General features: G+C 46.1%; 1 protein-coding gene across 1 annotated transcript in view, besides 1 other annotated feature; it reads left to right on the top strand.

The window, feature by feature from the left end:
• Positions 1–1988: 1988 nt before the first annotated feature.
• LOC124904588 (UPF0764 protein C16orf89-like) overlaps positions 1989–18796 on the top strand; it is a gene marked incomplete at its 5' end in the record, with an annotated part of 43053 nt that continues 26245 nt past the window's right edge. The window contains 2 exons of the mRNA XM_047439568.1: positions 1989–2138; positions 10275–10340. Coding sequence (XP_047295524.1) covers positions 1989–2138; positions 10275–10340 — 216 coding nt within the window. The remainder of the gene's footprint in view (positions 2139–10274; positions 10341–18796) is intronic.
• Positions 3330–3530: a silencer, noted in NCBI's record as "peak809 fragment used in MPRA reporter construct". NCBI's record gives its function as "represses an SCP1 promoter by STARR-seq MPRAs in K562 erythroleukemia cells {active_cell/tissue: K562}" and the evidence as "EXISTENCE:reporter gene assay evidence [ECO:0000049][PMID:32103011]".

Raw genomic sequence — 18796 nt, 5'->3', positions numbered from 1 at the left:
TAATTTTTCTTAATACCTTTCCTTGGAAGGTTATTTTTAAGTTAGTAAAATAGTAACTGGAAGACTGACATCCTTTCCACATATTACTTTTTTTTTTTTTTTTAAGACAGTCTCACTCTATGGCCCAGGCTGGAGTGCAGTGGCACAATCTCAGCTCACTGCAACCTCTGCCTCCAGAGTTCAAGAGATTCCCCTGTCTCAGCCTCCCTAGTAGCTGGGACTACAGGCACGTGCCCCCCAGCCCGGCTATTTTTTTTTTTTTTTGTATTTTTGGTAGAGACAGTTTTATCATGTTGGCCATGCTGGTCTCAGACCCTGGCCTCAAGTGATCCGCCTGCCTCGGCCTCCCAAAGTGCTGGGATAATAACAGGCATGAGCGTGCCCAGTCCGCATATTACATTTAAGTGTAGTTTTTTGTTTTTTTTTTCACATTCCTGTGGATATACTAAATGCCAGTGAACTGCACCCTTAGAAATGGTTAATTTTGGCCGGGTGCGGTGGCTCACACCTGTAATCCCAGCACTTTGGGAGGTCGAGGCGGGCGGATCACCTGAGGTCAGGAGTTCGAGACCAGCCTCAACATGGAGAAACCCCGTCTCTACTAAAAATACAAAATTAGCTGGGCATGGTGGCGCATGCCTGTAATCCTAGCTACTCAGGAGGCTGAGGCAGGAGAATTGCTTGAACCTGAGAGGCAGAGGTTGCTGTGAGCTGAGATCGCACCATTGCACTCCAGCCTGGGCAACAAGAGCAAAACTCTGTCTCAAAAAAAAAAAAAAAAAAAAAAAGAAATGTTTACTTTTATGTCATGTGATTGCATCTCAATACAAAATAATTCACGGCCAGGTGCGGTAGCTCACACCTGTAATCCCAGCACGTTGGGAGGCCAAGGTGGGCAGATCACCTGAGGTCAGGAGTTCGAGACCAGTCTGACCAACATGGTGAAACCCTGTCTCTACTAAAAATACAAAATTAGCCAGGCATGATGGCAGATGCCTGTAATCCCAGCTACTCGGGAGGCTGAGGCAGGAGAATCGCTTGAACCTGGGAGGCAGAGGTTGCAGTGAGCCGAGATTGCGCCATTGCATTCCAGCCTGGGCAACAAGAGTGAAACTCCATCTCAAAAATAATAATAATAATAATTCACATAACAAATTCACCATTTTAACCATCTTAGAGTGTACAATTCAGTGGTTATTGTTTTTTAGAGCATACTCACAATGATGTGCAACCATCACCACTATTTTTTTTTCCTGCATCCAGTCATCCACTAACGTCACCACTATTAATTCCAAAATATTTTCATCACCCGGCTCCCAAAACCCCATACTCATTAAAAGCAGTCACTCTCCGTTTTCCCCTCCTGCAACCTATACAAATACTAATCTGCTTCTAGGCCTGGCGCGATGGCTCACGCCTGTAATCCCAGCACTTTGGGAGGCCAAGGCGGGCATGTCATTTGAGGCCAGGAGTTTGAGACCAGCCTGGCCAACATGGTGAAACCCTGTCTCTACTAATAATACAAAAATTAGCCGGGGCGTGGTAGCGCACGCCTGTAATCCCAGCTACTACAGAGGCTAAGGCAGGAGAATTGCTTGAACCCGAGGCAGAGGTTGCAGTGAGCCGAGATCGCACCACTGTACTCCAGCCTGGGCGACAGAGTGAGACTCTGTCACAAAACAAACAAACAAACAAAACCTACTAATCTACTTCTATCTTTACAGATTCGTCCCTTTTGGACATTTCGTATAAATAGAATCCCAATATGTGCCCTTTTATTTCTGGCAACTTTCACTTAGCATAATGTTGTAGGTTCACCTGTGTCGTAGCATGGATTAGCACATCATTCCTTTTTATGGCTGAAGAATATTCTATTGTATGACTTTATCATTTTCTTTATCAGTTGATGGACATTTGAGTAGTTTCCACATTTTGACTTTTATGAATAATTCCTCTTTTGTTTTTTGGAGATGGAGTCTCACTCTGTTCCCCAGGCTGGAATGCAGTGGCGTGATCTCGGCTCACTGCAACCTCCGTCTCCTGGGTTCAAGAGATTCTCCTGCCTCAGCCTCCTGAGTAGCTGGGATTACAGGTTCCTGCCACCACACTCAGCTAATTTGTTTGTATTTTTAGTAGAGGTGGGGTTTCATCACGTTGGCCAGGGTCGTCTTGAACTCCTGACCTCAAGTGATCCACCCGCCTTGGCCTCCCAAAGTGTTGGGATTACAGGCGTGAGCCACTGCACCTGACCTTTTATGAATAATTCTCTCGTGAACATTTGTTTATAACTTTTTGTGTGAATATATGTTTTCAGTTCTCTTGGATACATACCTAGGAGTTGAATTGCTGGGCCACGTGGTAACTCTAGGTTTAACTTTTTGAGGAAATGCTCAACTACTTTCCCACAGCAGCTGCACCAATCTGTATCCCCATAAGTACTGTACAAGGGCTCCTATTTCTCCACATCCTTGCCAACACTTGTTATTCCTCCTCCCCCTTTTCTTTTAATTATAGCCATCCTAGTGGGTGTTATGAGTGCTATCTCATTGTGGTTTTGATTGGCATTTTCCTAATGACTAATGATGCTGAGCGTCTTTTCATGTGCTTGCTCATTGGCCAGTTGGTTCCTTCTTATTCTTCAGGTTTCATCTTCTCAGAAAGAACTTTTCACGGAGCATGGTGGTGCACGCCTGTAATCCCAGCTACCCAGGAGTCTGAGGCAGGAGGATTGCGTGAGTCCAGGGGTTCAAGGACAGCCTGGGCAACATAGTGAGACCCCTGTCTCAAAAGTAAATAAGTAAAAATAAAAAATAACTTTCCTAACAAACTTTCGGAAGTCAACCTTTCCCCTATAATTATTTCCTAGGGTTATGTTAGTGTCCACAGAGTACTGACCACATTCTGTTATGATTTGATCATCTTGTTGACTGCACTTAGCCAAGCACAACTGCTGGCACAGCATGGGGGCTCCGCACTTATTTAATGAACAAGTCAATGCGAAGATTAATGAGACATAAAATCAAGCAGTGTTAGGACTGCCATGGTGGCTCACTCCTGTAATCCCAGCATTTGGGGAGGCTGAGGCAGGCGGATCACTTGAGGCCAGGAATTTTAGAACAGCCTGGGCAACATGGTGAAACCCTGTCTCTACTAAAAATACAAAAATTAGCCAGGCCTGGTGGCAGGAGCCTGTAATCCCAGCTACTCAGGAGGCTGAGGCATGAGAATCACTTGAACCCGGGAGGCTGCAGTGAACTGAGATCGCACCACTGCACTCCAGCCTGAGCAACAGAGCGACACTCCATCTCAAAAAAAAGAAAAAAAAAAAAAGGAATACAGGAAATCAGACAGATGAAACCGGATAAGAAGCTGACACAGAAAAAGTAAATAGTGGGAGGAGAGTTGGTAGGAAAACTCTCGTGACCACTGAGTTAAGTGTCAAAAGCAAGCCTAATGTAATGGGACAAAACGGACAAAATATGCCTTTAGCCTTAAAAAATGTTCTTACCCTTTAACTTAGTAGGTTTTTTTTGTTTGTTTTGTTTTTTGTTTTTTCAAGACAGGGTCTCACTCTGTCCCCCAGGCTGGAGTACAGTAGTGCGATCTCCACTCACTGTAACCTCCACCTTCTGGGCGCAAGCAATTCTCCCACCTCAGCCTCTCGAGTAGCTAGGACTGTAGTCACATGCCACCATGCCTGGCTAATTATTGTATTTTTTGTAAAGATGGGGTTTTGCATGTTGCCCAGGCTGGTCCTGAACTCCTGGGCTCAAGCGATCCACCTGCCTCGGCCTCCCAAAGTGCTGGGACTACAGGCGTGAGCCACCATGCCCAGCCTAGCAGTTCTTTTTAGAAATTTATCCTGAGAAAATAATCAGACATGTGGGAAAATTTAGGTTACGAGTATCCCCACTGTGGCATTTCACCATAATATCAGAAAGTTGGAAACAACATAAATGCCCCTCAACAGGGAACGAATGGTTCTATAAACCCACAGTGGCATTGTCACATGATAAAATACTATGCTGCCAGAACCAGTGAAAATATTTACTGAAATATTAGAATTTAGCTTTGGGCAGAAAGAACACAGAAACTGGGAAATGAAATGTTCAGAACTACTGATTATTGAAAAAAACAACAACAAAACTTCAAGGGCTAGGGCCAGAAACACAGCCCTCAGTCTGAAGGAAGATCCTTGAGAAAAGTTGAAAGGAAACTGGGCGCGGTGGCTTACGCCTGTAATCCCAGCACTTTGGGAGGCCGAAGTGGGTGAATCACCTGAGGTCAGGAGTTCGAGACCATCCTGACCAACATGGCGAAACTCTCTACTAAAAATACAAAAAGTAGCCGGGCGTTTGGGAGGCCGAGGCGGGCGGATCACGAGGTCAGGAGATCGTGACCATCCTGGCTAACACGGTGAAACCCCGTCTCTACTAAAACAAAGACCAAAAAATTAGATGGGCGCGGTGGCGGGCGCCTGTAGTCGCAGCTACTCGGGAGGCGGAGGCAGGAGAATGGCGTGACCCGGAAGGCGGAGCTTGTAGTGAGCCAAGATCGCGCCACTGTCACTCCAGCCTGGGCGACAGAGCGAAATTCTGTCAAAAAAAAAAAAAAAAAATTAGTCACGTGTGGTGGCGGGCGCCTGTAGTCCCAGCTACTCGAGAGGCTGAGGCAGGAGAATCGCTTGAACCGGGGAGGCGGAGGTTGCAGCGCGCCGAGATCGCGCCGTTGAACTCCAGCCTGGACAAAAAAAGCGAAATTCCGTCTCAAAAAAAAAAAAAAAAGAGTCCCTGCGAGCCCCCAGTCCCCTCCACCGTGAGGACACAGTGAGAAGGTGCCGTCTCCGAACCGGAAGTGTGCACTCACCAGACACGGAATTTGCCAGCGCCTTCATCTTGGACTTTTCTGTTTTCAGCATTCTGAGATAATACATTTCTGTTGTTTGTAAGCGGCCAGTTATGCTATTTTGTTATAGCACCCCGAATGGACTAAGACTGAATAGGCTGAGACAGGATAAGGATGAGAGGAAGAAATGGTGCCAGGCAGTGGAAATAGCAGAGGTAAAAACCCTGCGGTGGCAAGAAGTCCAATCTGACTGAGAAGTGGGGTGGGGCTGGGAGGAGTCACGTGAGAGAGACTGTCTGGGTGGGCAGGGATCACACCATGCAGGGCTTTGCTGGCCACATTCAATAAAAACTAGGGATTTGGGACTAAAATCAAAAGCATGTCACTAAAAAATTGCTGTTGGTCTATTCTGGTAAGTGACATTGTAAGAGTTCCCCCTCTTCTCAAACTACCTTTTGGGATGTTTGCTCCTTCCTTTCTTCCTTCCTTCCTTCCTTTCTTGAGATGGGGTATCCCTGCTCTGTTGCCTACGCTGGCATGATCATAGCTCACTGCAGCCTCGAACTCCTGATTGCAACCTTCCTCCTGCCTCAGCCTCTGGACTAGCTGGGACTACAGGCATGCACCACCACACCTGGCTAATTTTTAATTTTTTTTTTTTTTTTTTAGAGACAGGGTTTCCCCATGTTACTCAGGTCAGTCTCGAACTCCTGAACTCAAGCGATCCTCCCACCTCAGCCTTTCAAAGCACTGGGATTATAGGCATGAGTCACCGTGTCTGGCCTGGCCTGTTTTTAGTATGTGGTCTCACACGCTTGGGCCACAGTTTATTGGAGCAGAAGTATCTCACTCTAAATTTCTAACCCTTTTTTTTTTTTGAGACGGTCTTGCTCTGTCACCCAGGCTGTAGTGCAGTGGCATGATCTTGGCTCACTGCAACCTCTGCCTCCCGGGTTCAAGTGATTCTCCTGCCTCAGTCTCTCGAGCAGTTGGGACTACAGACGTACACAACCATGTCGAGTGAATTTTTTGTATTTTTAGTAGAGACGAGGTTTTGCTATGTTGGCCAGGCTGGTCTTGAACTCCTGGCCTCAAGTGATCTGCCCACCTTGGCCTCCCAGAGTGCTGGGATTGCAGGCATGAAACTCGCAGCCGGCCTCTAATGCTTTTTTTTTTTTTTTTTTTTTTTTTTTTTTGAGACGGAGTTTCACTCTTGTTGCCCAGGCTGGAGTACAATGGTGTGATCTTGGCTCACCGCAATCTCCACCTCCCGGGTTCAAGCAATTCTCCTGCCTCAGCCTCCCAAGCAGCTGGGATTACAGGCATGAGCCACCATGCCTAGGCCTACCAAAGTCCTGGGATTACAGGCATGAGCCACTACACCCAGCAAATGCTTTTTTTAAAGTAGACTTTTATCAGATGTATTTTATAGTCTAAGAAAGTTATGTCAAGTATTAGCTTTTAATTCTTAAAGAGAGCAAGAATTTACCTTCTATGAACATTTAAAGAACATCTGAACAGGATCAAACTCTTTTCAGATCTAGAGACGACATGAAAACAACCCCAAAACGAGGGTTCAAGTATTTTCCTTTAACAAGGTTTCAAGGAGAAAATCTCTTTAAAAAAAAAAAAAACTTTTATTATCTGATTTGCTTATGTGCTGTTTTGCTTAAAGAATAATACAGTTTGTTGTGTGAGATTAAAAGTCCATATTCGTGGTCATCCTGTAGATTTCGGCTGCAACTCCTTGATCTCTATACCTCATTTTCCTACTCCTTACCAAGGCTTTTTTTTTTTTTTTTTTTTTTTGAGATGGAGTCTCCCTCTGTTGCCCAGGCTGGAGTGCAGTGACACGATCTCCACTCACGGCAACCTCTGCCTCCTGGGTTCAAGCGATTCTCCTGCCTCAGCCTCCTGAATAGCTGGGATTACAGGCACCTGCTACCATGCCCAGCTAACTTTTGTATTTTTAGTAGAGACGGGGTTTCACCACATTGGCCAGGCTGGTCTTGAACTCCTGATCTCAGGTGATCTGCCCACCTCGGCCTCCCAAAGTGCTGGGATTACAGGCGTGAGCCACTGTGCCCGACCCTTACCAAACATTTTAGGTGGCCAAATGCTTACCAGAGGTAAATGACTACATATAAAATATTTGTGAGATTTTCTGATGAAGTTTGAATGTCTCCTTTAGACCAGTGGTTCTCAGTCCGAATGATTTCGCTTCCAGGGGACATCTGGTAATGTCTGAGATGTTTTTGATGGTCACAACTTGGGAAGGTGGTCCTTCCTATATAGTGGATAGAGGCTGGGGATGCCACTGAACATCCTATAAAATACACAAAACAGGCCGGGCGCGGTGGCTCACACCTGTAATCCCAGCACTTTGGGAGGCCGAGGCGGGTGAATCACGAAGTCAGGACTTCGAGACCAGCCTGGCCAACATGGTGAAACCCCATCTCTACTAAAGATACAAATAATTAGCCGGGCGTGGTGGTGGGTGCCTATAATCCCAGCTACTCGAGAGACTGAGGCCGGAGAATCACTTGAACCCGGGAGGTGGAGGTTGCAGTGAGCCGACATCTCTCCATTGCACCCCAGCCTGGGAGACAGAGCGAGACTCCATCTAAAAAAAAAAAAATAAACCACACATGACAACACCCCCTTCCCTGCCCAACACCAAAGAATTATCTGGTGCAAAACACCAATAGTGCTAAGGTTGAGAAACCCTGTTATAAAGTAAAGAATGAGCCAGTGATCTTCCATGGAAGGGGTGTTATTTCTCTCTCTCTCTCTTTAATTTCCTTTTACACAGAAATACCATAAGATTTAACAAAAACAAAAACATTATAAGGATTCCAATTATATGACATTCTAGAAAAGGCAAAACTATGATGACAGTAAAAAGTTTGGTAGTTGCCAGGGGTTAGTGGGAGGGAGGGGTGAACAGGCAGAACACGGAGGATTTTTAGGGCAGTGAAACGACTCTGTATATTATTGCACTGGTGGATACGTGTCATCATATACTTGTCAAGACTCATAGAATGCACAGTACCAAGAGTGAACCCCAATGTGAACTACGGACTTTGGGTGATAATGACTATCTGTGCAGGTTCGTTGATTGTTCGTAAGAATGTGCCACTGTGGGGCACTCTATGTGTTGATATGGGGGAGTCTGAGGGGGAGGGGTGGGGAGGAGGCATCTGGGAACATTGCTTTCTGCTCAGTTTTGCCCAAACAGTGCTAAACAAATTGAGTCTATATAAAAAAAAGTTAATTGGAAAAACAAAACAACATTTCAGAAACATGGTGGATTTTCCGCTGTGAGATGTTACTTGAGAAAAAAGGATTTAAAAATTCACAACTAATGTTTATAACAAAACGTATCTTTCACTACAAAATTCTGAAAGTTGTGTCATTGCTAAAGACGAGCTTCAACTGTCAAGGCTGGGTAGAACAGCAGTTACCATTTTATGGTCCCTGGAACACTAGTTCTGCAGGATGTTAACAGGCCTTGCTTGAAGGAAAGTGGGAAATCCAGGTGTCATTTTTTCTGTTTTTGTCTTTTTCCTTTCTTGAAGAACTGCTCAGGGCCTTCCAGAGGTTACTGTTCATTGTAAATCCCTATGGGGGTTTATTGCAGGCAGCATTTCCCAAATTTCTGTGACCATAGAACCCTTTCTTTTTAATTAAAAAAAAAAAAATTAGGACTGGGTGCAGTGGCTCACGCCTGTAATCCCAGCACTTTGGGAGCCCAAGGCGGACGGATCACGAGGTCAGGAGATCGAGACCATCCTGGCCAACATGGTGAAACCCCGTCTCTACTAAAAAAAATACAAAAAATTAGCTGGGCGTGGTGGCACGCGCCTGTAGTCCCAGCTACTCTGGAGACTGAGGCAGGAGAATCACTTGAACCCGGGAGGCAGAGGTTGCAGTGAGCCGAGATTGTGCCACTGCACTCCAACCTGGTGACAGAGTGCGACTCCATCAAAAAAAAAAAAAAAAAAAGGTAGATTCAAGGGGTATATGTCCAGATTTGTTACATGGATATACTCATAATGCCGAGGTTTGGGCTCCTATTGAACCTGTCTCCCAAACTGTGGACACAGGGCCCCCAGGAAGTGGTTTTTAACCCCGTCTGCCTCCCCACTCCCTCTTTCTGGAGTGCCCAGTGTCCATTGTTTCCATCTTTATGTCTGTACAGACCCAGTGTTTAGCTCCCACTTACAAGTGAAAACATGTGGTATTGATTTTCTGGTAGAACTCTTCTCTCTGTGTCTTTTTTTTTTTTTGGTAGAGATGGGGGACTCCTTATTTTCCCTGGGCTGGTCTCGAACTCCTGGGGTCAAGTGATCCTCCTGCCTCAGCCTCCCAAAGTGCTGGGTTTGCAGGTGTGAGCCACTGTGCCGGGCCCATGAACGCTTTTCTTAAGGAACATCTCAAAGGGCTATTTTGGACACATGATGTTGAAGATACAAGAGGGTCATCCTCGCGGGTTAATACCGTGGTCTTCATGGCTCAGGCCTTCCCTGTCGCCATGTTTCCTGATTTGTAGGTCTCCTTGCTTGCTTATTTTGGTTGCTGCCCTCAGTGTTCTCAATACTGTTATCTCCAAATCTTGCCCCATTCCCCCAGAACTCTGAGTGCAATGCCCACTGTGGGGTACCCCCAGCAGAGTGGATGGCATGTTCCTCAGCAATTTCCTCACAGTGTGGCCGAGGGAGCCTCCCCCAGGGGCGATTCTGGCCCCAGGCCTCATTCGTGTGTGGCTAGTCCTGGCTGAGTCAAGCTTCCGGCAAGCTTGCAACCTTGTGGGCTCTGATCAGGCCTAGCTGCCTCTAAGAAAGAAAGGTGTTGAATTTCATTCTCTTCTCATTCTGAAGGAAATTCAAGTCCTTTTAAAGAGTATAGGGTACATTTTCCAGGTAAGCTTCACTAGGCCTGTCTGCTGATGCTCCCCAGCCCCTCTTGCCTACATACAGGGGAGTTCCTGTGTTTTCGTGAGTGGGTGAGCCTGTGCTATTCTGGTTTTTCTCTCCTGGCTGCCAACAGAGCAGGTGTTTTTCATGCAACACAAGAGCTGCCAGGATCCATGCTGCCTCTCCTTTTGTGCTTAACACTTGTGTCTGGGCTGTCTGGTGCTGCCAGAACTGGAGTTTTATTTCTCTATCCTTCTTCTCCCATTGCATGAAAAGATGAAGCAAGCTGTCAGACAGATCCAAAATGTTCTCCTTTGTCTTTTTTTTTTTTTTTTTTTTTTTTTGAGATGGAGTCTCGCTCTGTTGCCCAGGCTGGAGTGCAGTGGTGCAATCTCAGCTCACTGCAACCTCTGCCTCCCGGGTTCAAGCAATTCTCCTGTCTCAGCCTCCTGAGTAGCTGGGATTACAGGTGCCCACCACCACGCCCAGCTGATTTTTGTATTTTCAGTAGAGATGGAGTTTCACCATATTGGTCAGGCTGGTCTCAAACTCCTGACCTCAGGTGATCCACCTGCCTTGGCCTCCCAAAGTGTTGGGATGACAGATGTGAGCCACCAAGCCCAGCCTCCTTTGTCTTTATAAGGGAGAAAGAAGGCTGGGCACGGCGGCTCACGCCTGTCATCCCAGCACTTTGGGAGGCCGAAGCAGGCGGATTGCCTGAGGTGCAGAGTTTGAGACCAGCCTGACCAACATAGAGAAACCCCGTCTCTACTAAAAATACAAAATTAGCCAGGCATGGTGGAGCATGCCTGTAATCCCAGCTACTCTGGAGGCTGAGGCAGGAGAATGGCTTGAACCCGGGAGGCGGAGGTTGCCGTGACCTGAGATCGCACCACTGCACTCCAGCCTGGGCAACAAGAGGGAAACTCTGTCTCAAAAAAAAAAAGGAGAAAGAATTTCCAATTTTTGTTTTCTTAACATTTCAAGTGGAATATCTGGTCATCCCCTTTAGAAGCATTTTCCCAAAAAAACGGGATACTATTTGAATGCGGTTGTCTGCAGTGTTTCGAATCATTAAATATTGAGGAGCTACTGTATTCCAGGCACTCTACTAGGTGCTGGGGATAAAGAGATGAGTAAGACATAACCCATAACCAGAGGGTGCAACCAACAAGAAATAAACAATTTCCACAGAGTGGGCAGTGGTGTAAGAGTTCTGTGCACAGGGCCTGTGGAGCACAGGGGCAAGTAGCGCACTTACCTGGGGGTTTTGTGGGTGAGCGGAGCAGAAAGAATTTTTTTTTTTTTTTAGAGATGGGGTCTTGCTATGTTTCCCAGGCTGGTCTTGAACTCCTGGACCCTAAATGATCCTCCCACCTCAATCTCCCAAGTAGCTTAGACTACAGGAATACATGACTGCACCCAGCTTTTAAGAGACTTTTGCTGGAAATTCTAGCATAGTACATTTCATTTAGCCTACCATTCAGTATGGCATTTTCAACTTCTTTTGTATAACACATACAATTGTGAGCGTTTTAGTCATTTTCATCTTGTTTGGGACCTTAAAGATTATTGCTAGATGGACAGCTGCCAGCACTGAAGTGCTCGTTTTGTCAAAAGTAGCAAGAGAAAAGTCACAGCAGAAAAAAATCTCTCGAGGTGTCTTAGGGATCAAATGATAGTAAATCACACGTGGATGACATTTTAGAGCTTGCAAAGCACTTGCATATATTGTCCAAGTTGATACTGATGATAATCTTACCAAGTAGGTAGGGAGATTGCTGATTAAACACAGCAGAGTCAACACAATGTTTGTCTCCATGGCTTCCTGGGGTCTACTAAAATGACAGAAAAGAAATAAAATGAGTCTAAACCCATAGCATCAAAGAGAACAGAAGAGAATATTACAGTGAATGACAGCAGTATATTTTGAGACTACGGAAGTCATAAGAAGCGAGTAACTCACATAGCAGGGAAGCGGCACCAGATCAGAGGAGGATGCTGATGTACACAAAAAACCGTTAAAGGCTCGGACTGCGAGAGACAGGTTCTGCCAAGTGGGGCTGGAAACAGGGAAACTGGTTCCAAACCTGTGGAAGAGTTCCCATCATGTTCCCTCCACCTCTCCACATAGCCAGGTGAACACTCCTCCCCTCCACCCTGCCCCCGCCCTGCCGGCACGAGTCCAGAAGCTAATTTTTGGGGAAATGGAACTGCAGGGGTCCAGATTCGGGAACAGCTGACATTCTGGAAGGCAGGGACGAGGCACTGGGCTGAAAGCAAGAGGGGCTACATGAAATGCAGCCAGGCCCTATCCCTGCTTGTCCTCAGAGTGTATGGTAGCCCCACCCCTGTTCTCAGGTAGAAGAATGAGTTTTTCTTGGAAAAACTGTTCCGTTAAAATATTAAATAGCTGGGCCACGCGTGGTGGCTGACGCCTGTAATCCCAGCATTTTGCGAGGCCAAAGTGGGAGGATTGAGTGAGGCCAAGAGATGGAGGCTGCAGTGAGAGCCTAGGTGACAGAGTGAGACACTGTCTCTAAAATAAATAAATAAATAAATAAATAAATACCCGGGCGCGGTGGCTCATGCCTGTAATCCCAACACTTTGGGAGGCCGAGGTGGGAAGATCATTTAAGGTCAGGAGTTCGAGACTAGCCTAGCCAACATGGTGAAACCCCGCCTCTACTAAAAATACAAATAATTAGCTGGGTGTGGTGACCAACGCCTGTAATCCCAGCTACTCGGGAGGCTGAGGCAGGAGAATTGCTTGAACCAGGGAAGTAGAGGTTGCAGTGAACTGAGATCGCACCATTGCACTCCAGCCTGGTGACAGAGTGAGATTCCGTCAAAAAAAAAGAAAAAAGAAAGAAAGAAAGAAAGGAAAGAAAAAGAAAATAACTCTCTGAACAGGCATGACCCTATCACCCTGGAGTGAAGTTCAACATTACCAAGCCTTGCTCATGTTTCCTCTCAGCTTTGTAGTGAGTCACTGTTTAATGTGAATGGTCCTACAAGGATTGCTGGGCATTCCATGATCCCGTATGAAAGACAAGGACTAAAATAAACAAACGAATGATGGGGAAAATTTTGAAGAAAAAGGCAATGCAGGACATGGACAAACACTTCCAGAAATAGATGAAATTGCTGTTCTCAGAGAGAGAGATAAGATAAAGTGACAGCAAATTTTATGGGAAATGAGGCAATTTCCCATAATATAGAAATAAATGGACGACAAGCAAGAAAATAATTTAAAATAAAGGATTATCCAGATAGTCTAATAGCCAACTAATAGGAATTAATTAATTAATTAATTTTTTGAGATAGAGTTTCACTCTTGTTGCCCCAGGCTGGAGTGCAATGGCGCGATCTCGGCTCACTGCAACCTCTGCCTCCCGGGTTCAAGCAATTCTCCTGACTCAGCCTCCTGAGTAGCTGGGACTACAGGCACCCACCACCATACCTGGCTAATTTTGTATTTTTAATAGAGAAAGGGTTTTACCATGTTGGCCAGGCTGGTCTTGAACTCCTGACCTCAGGTAATCTGCCCTCCTCTGCCTCCCAGAGTGCTGGGATTACAGGCATGAGCCACCACACCCGGCCAGGAATTTAATAAGTAGAATATAGAGAAGAGAAAATTACCAAAGAAAAAAAAACTCAGGAGAGTGGGCCTCTAGATTCAAAGGGCCTATCCAGAAAAATTAATGAAAAGATCTACACTAAGTCATATCTTCATAATATTTCAGAAGAGGCCGGGCACGGTGGTTCACACCTGTAATCCGAGCACTTTGGGAGGCTATGGTGGGAGGATCACTTGAGCCCAGGAGTTCCAGAGCAGCTTGGGCAAGATGTTGAGACCTCATCTATACAAAAAATCAAAAAGTTAGTCCAGTGTGGTGGTGCAGGCCAGTGGTCCCACCTTCTCAGGAGCCTGAGGCGGAGGATTGCTTGAGCCTGGGAGGTGGAGGTTCCAGTGAGCTATGATCGTGCCACTGCACTCCAGTCTGGGTGGCAGAGTGAGACCCTGTCTCAAAAACAAACAACAAAAAAAATTCGGAACACTGGAGATGAAGAGAAAACATTAATCCATAGAAGGCAAAAAATAAATATTACACATAAAGATTCTGGAATCAGAATGGCAGTGGAACTCTCAAGAACAGCATTGGAAACTGGCAGACAACAAAACAATGCTTTCAATATTTTGAGGAAAAAATAATTTTTTGAATTAGAATTCTCTGCCTCACCAGACCATTAATCAAATGAGAGAGTAAAATAAAGACATTTTCACCTCCTGGCCAGGCATGGTGGCTCACGCCTGTAATCCCAGCACTTGGGGAGGCCGAGGTGGGCGGATCACGAGGTCAGGAGTTCGAGACGAGCCTGACCAACATGCTGAAACCCCGTCTCTACTAAAAACAAAAAACATTAGCCGGGCATGGTGGCACGCACCTGTAATCCCAGCTACTCAGGAGGCTGAGGCAGGAGAATTGCTTGAACCCAAGAAGTGGAGGTTGCAGTGAGCAGAGTTGGAGCCACTGCACTCCAGCCTGGGTGACAGAGGGAGACCCCATCTCAAAAAAAAAAAAAAAAGACATTTTCACTTCCTGGGCACCTTCTTCCAGAGCCACCAGAGGCTACACTCCACCAGAATGAGGGGATAACCCACTGAAGAGTAGGACCACAGTCAGGACAAAGGGATCTGACCCAGGAGAAAGGTGAAAGGGGCCTCCAGACGGCAGCTACACCCAGAGAGAGCCAGTCCAGAAAGGAACTGGGGCCCTGAAGTCCAGGGGAAAATGGACACTGATAGCTACATTATTTCATGTGTGTTTGACCACGTAGAAAATCTTATGCGGGGGTTTTGCAATTCAGTTGGAGAATGTGGAAAGAAATAGTAATAATGACATGGGAAATTGAGCAAATGGGAAATTAAATAGTATAAGAAAGAGAATGTAATGCGAATGCATTACTTAGCTCAACAGTGAACAACACTCACATAGAAATAATAGGGTCAATAATAAATATTGGCTTAACCAATATCTTGATATAATTATGTTTGCAGGGTTGAGGAAGTAGAAGTGGCAGGCTGGGATAATATGAGAGTAGAGGCCGGGCGCGGTGGCTCACACCTGTAATCTCAGCACTTTGGGAGGCCGAGGCGGGTGGATCACCTGAGGTCAGGAGTTTGACACCAGCCTGGCCAACATAGTGAAACTTCGTCTCTCCTAAAAATATAAAAAATTAGCTGGGCATGGTGGCGGGCGCCTGTAATCCCAGCTACTCAGGAGGCTAAAGCAGGAGAATCGCTTGAACCTGGGAGGCGGAGGTTGCAGTGAGCCAAGATTGTGCCATTGCACTCCAGCCTGGGCGACAAGAGTGAAACTGCGTCTCAAAAAAAAAAAAGAAAGAGAAAGAGAGTAGAATACCTTCATCCTGGCTGGCGTGGTGGCTCATGCCTATAATCCCAGCAATTTGAGAGGCTGAGGCAGGTGGATTCCTTGGGTTCAGGAGTTCAGAGATCAGCCTGAGCAACAGGGCTAAACCCTGTCTGCAAAAAAATAAAAAAGAAAAAAAAATAGCCAGGCATGGTGGTGTGTGTCTGTAGTCCCAGCTACTAAGGAGGCTGAGATGGGAGGATCGCTTGAGCCCGGGAAGTTGAGGCTGCAGGGAAGCATGGTCGTGCCACTGCGCTCCAGCTTGTGTGACAGAGTGAGACACTGTCTCAAAATAAATACGTAGAGAGATGTAGCTATCTCCTATTGGTTGTGTTTCTTTGGAGAACCCTGATGAATACAGCATCACTTCCGCCATGCTCTATCGGTCAAAGCAGTCACCAAGATCCACCCAGGTTAGAGGGGAGGAAACACAGAGCCCCCTACTCCATTCTGTGGGAGAAATGTCATGGTCTCATTGGAAGAAAAGCATTGTGAGCTGGGAGATATTGTAGCCATCTTTGGAAAATACAATCTGTCACAGGCAGGGAACTGCTGTTTTTTGTAATAAACCTTATAGTACTATCTCACTATTTAAACAGTGTATGTGTATCATTTTTATAAAATGATAAAAAAATCTTAAATACAAGTTTAGTGCATATAGAAGCTATTCTTATGATCCTTTGGCAAAAGAGGAGAATGCTGTCAGAGAGGTTAAGAGAATGTTTGAGTTAGGGCTGGGATTTGAATCAGATCCATTGATCTTCATTCAGAGCTCTTTTCTTTATTACTAACCAGAAGACCAAGGGGAGTCACTGTCATTTACATTAATGACCACAGCCTATCTCAATTATAATAGTTAACAAGTGGGCTGGCTCTCCAACCTCAGCATGCTAGCTTTACCTGTTAGCCTGAATATTAATATGAACTTTGAATGCAAATGATCAATCTCAACTAACCAAGATCAAAGCAGACACTGTTGCTGTCTAATATGATGCTTCGTGTGTCTGAAAATGGAATTTGTATTTTTAGACAGCAGATCCTGGAATTGGAGTTGCACTTAGCATCCTTCAGGGTGATTCTGCCTTAGGCTTGGAATTTTTTTTTTTTTTGAGACGGAGTCTTGCTCTGTCGCCCAGGCTGGAGTGCAGTGGCACGATCCTGGCTCACTGCAAGCTCCGCCTCCCGGGTTCATGCCATTCTCCTCCCTCAGCCTCCCGAGTAGCTGGGACTACAGGCGCCCGCCACCACGCCCGGCTAATTTTTTGTATTTTTAGTAGAGACGGGGTTTCACTGTGTTAGCCAGGATGGTCTTGATCTCCTGACCTCGTGATCCGCCCGCCTCGGCCTCCCAAAGTGCTGGGATTACAGGCATGAGTCACCGTGCCCGGCCCAGCCAGGCTTGGAATTTTTAATGTCCACTTAAAACACACACACACACACACATATACACACCCACCCACACACACACACAAACACACACACACTCCAAACTAAAATAAAACAAAAATGAAAACAGAAGTCTTTCAAATAAGGCTCTGCCTAGATCAGGAATGCTACCCTTGCCTACTCTCAACATACACAGGCACAAACCACCAAGTTTCCCAGGAGAGGACACTGAACTTGGGCCTGTGATAGCTCAAGGCATGAGCCACTGGTCTTCAAATCCATCCCCATTGCCAGCACATCGCATCACTCTGCCACTGACTCACTCCTTCCGAGGAGCTACCGCTATTCCCAGACCACAGCCGAGGACTAGGACACAGATTCTGGGTGGTCAGGTATATTGGTCAAGTTTGAACCTGGTCCATGAAGCAAGAATGCCTCATGCAAAAAAACATAAACTGCAAATAGAAACAGGAGGAAGAAGAGGAAGAGCCTCCCCACATTACATACTTGAAATGTTTAATGAAAGGTGTTCCTGCTGGCTTCGTTGAAAATGATCTTTACAACTTTCTAATTGGACAGATAATGCACCTGAGAATCTGGACTCAAGTTATGTGACCATTAGTGGAATCTACATAACTGTGCCTAGCAGGAGTTGAGTAATTCTAAAACTTACTTTTGGCCGGGCGCGGTGGCTCATACCTATAATCCCAGCACTTTGGGAGGCCGAGGTGGGCGGATCACCTGAGATCAGCAGTTCGAGGTCAGCAGTTCAAGGCCAGCCTGGCCAACATGGCGAAACCCCATCTCTACTAAAAATACAAAAATTAGCTGGGCATGGTGGTACACACCTGTAATCCCAGTTACTGAGGAGGCTGAGGCAGGAGAATCACTTGAACCCGGGAGACAGAGGCTGCAGTGAGCTGAGGTTACACCACTGCACTCAAGCCTGGGTGAGAGTGAGACACCATCTCAAAAAAAATAATAATATTAATAACATTAAAGTTACTTTTTTTTTTTTTTGAGACAGAGTCTCGCTCTGTCGCCCAGGCTGGAGGGCAGTGGCGCTATCTCAGCTCACTGCAAACTCCGCCTCCCAGGTTCACGCCATTCTCCTGCCTCAGCCTCCCGAGTAGCTGGGACTACAGGCGCCCACCACCTTGCCCAGCTAATTTTTTGTATTTTTTAGTAGAGATGGGGTTTCACCACGTTAGCCAGGATGGTCTTGATCTCCAGACCTCGTGATCCGCCCGCCTCGGCCTCCCAAAGTGCTGGGATTACAGGCATGAGCCACCGTGCCCGGCCTAAAGTTACTTATTTAAAAATGCAGGGCATAGAGGGAAGAAAGGGGAAGCAAGAGTGGAACACGATCTCTCAGAAATTCCATTGCAAGGCCGGGCATGGTGGCTCACACCTGTAATCCCAGCATTTTGAGAGGCTGAGGCAGGTGGATCACTTGAGGTCAGGAGTTTGAGACCAGCCTAGGCAACAGGGCGAAATCTTGTCTCTACTAAAAATACAAAAATTAGCTGGGTGTGGTGGCAGGTGCCTGTAATCCCAGCTACTCAGGAGGCTGAGGCAGGAGAATCACTTGAACCTGGGAGACAGAGGTTGCAGTGAGCTGAGATCGCGCCACTGCACTCCAGCCTCGGCGACAGAGCAAGATTCTGTCTCAAAAAAAAAAAAAAAAAAAAGAAAAAAAATTCCATTGCAAATATAAGGGCTCAGGATAGTTTTCAAAAGAATCCAAGTCCGAAACGTCAGAAAGAAGGGGAAAAATTTTTTGGCAGTGCTGGGCAAGCTGAGTTGGTGGTGAGGCTGTGGCAGGTGGAGGGGTTATAACCAAAGAACAAGGGATGGGTGTGTGAGGGACCATAGGAAAAGACGGAATTCCTTTTGAGCCCAAATTAGGGCTGCAGGGTAGAACTCAGCCTTGAGATAGGAAAATGGAAATGTAGTACCCAAATAGGAGGATCGTAACAGGGGCTTGAAGATGCACCTAGAAGAGATTTGTTAGAACTCTGTGTATGCGCAAAGCTGAGTTAGGAGGTGATATCCTCACTATTCATTATGGGCTGAATTATGTCTCTCCAAAATTCATATATTGACATCCCAACACCAAGAACCTAAGAATGTGACTCTATTTGGAGATAGTGCCTTTAAAGAAGTAATTTTTTTTTTTGAGACGGAGTCTCACTCTGTCGCTCAGACTGGAGT

The sequence above is a fragment of the Homo sapiens genome, chromosome 1, assembly GCF_000001405.40.
Source record: "Homo sapiens chromosome 1, GRCh38.p14 Primary Assembly".
NCBI classification, from domain to species: Eukaryota; Metazoa; Chordata; class Mammalia; order Primates; family Hominidae; genus Homo; species Homo sapiens.
This window is presented reverse-complemented; position numbering and strand designations above follow the sequence as displayed.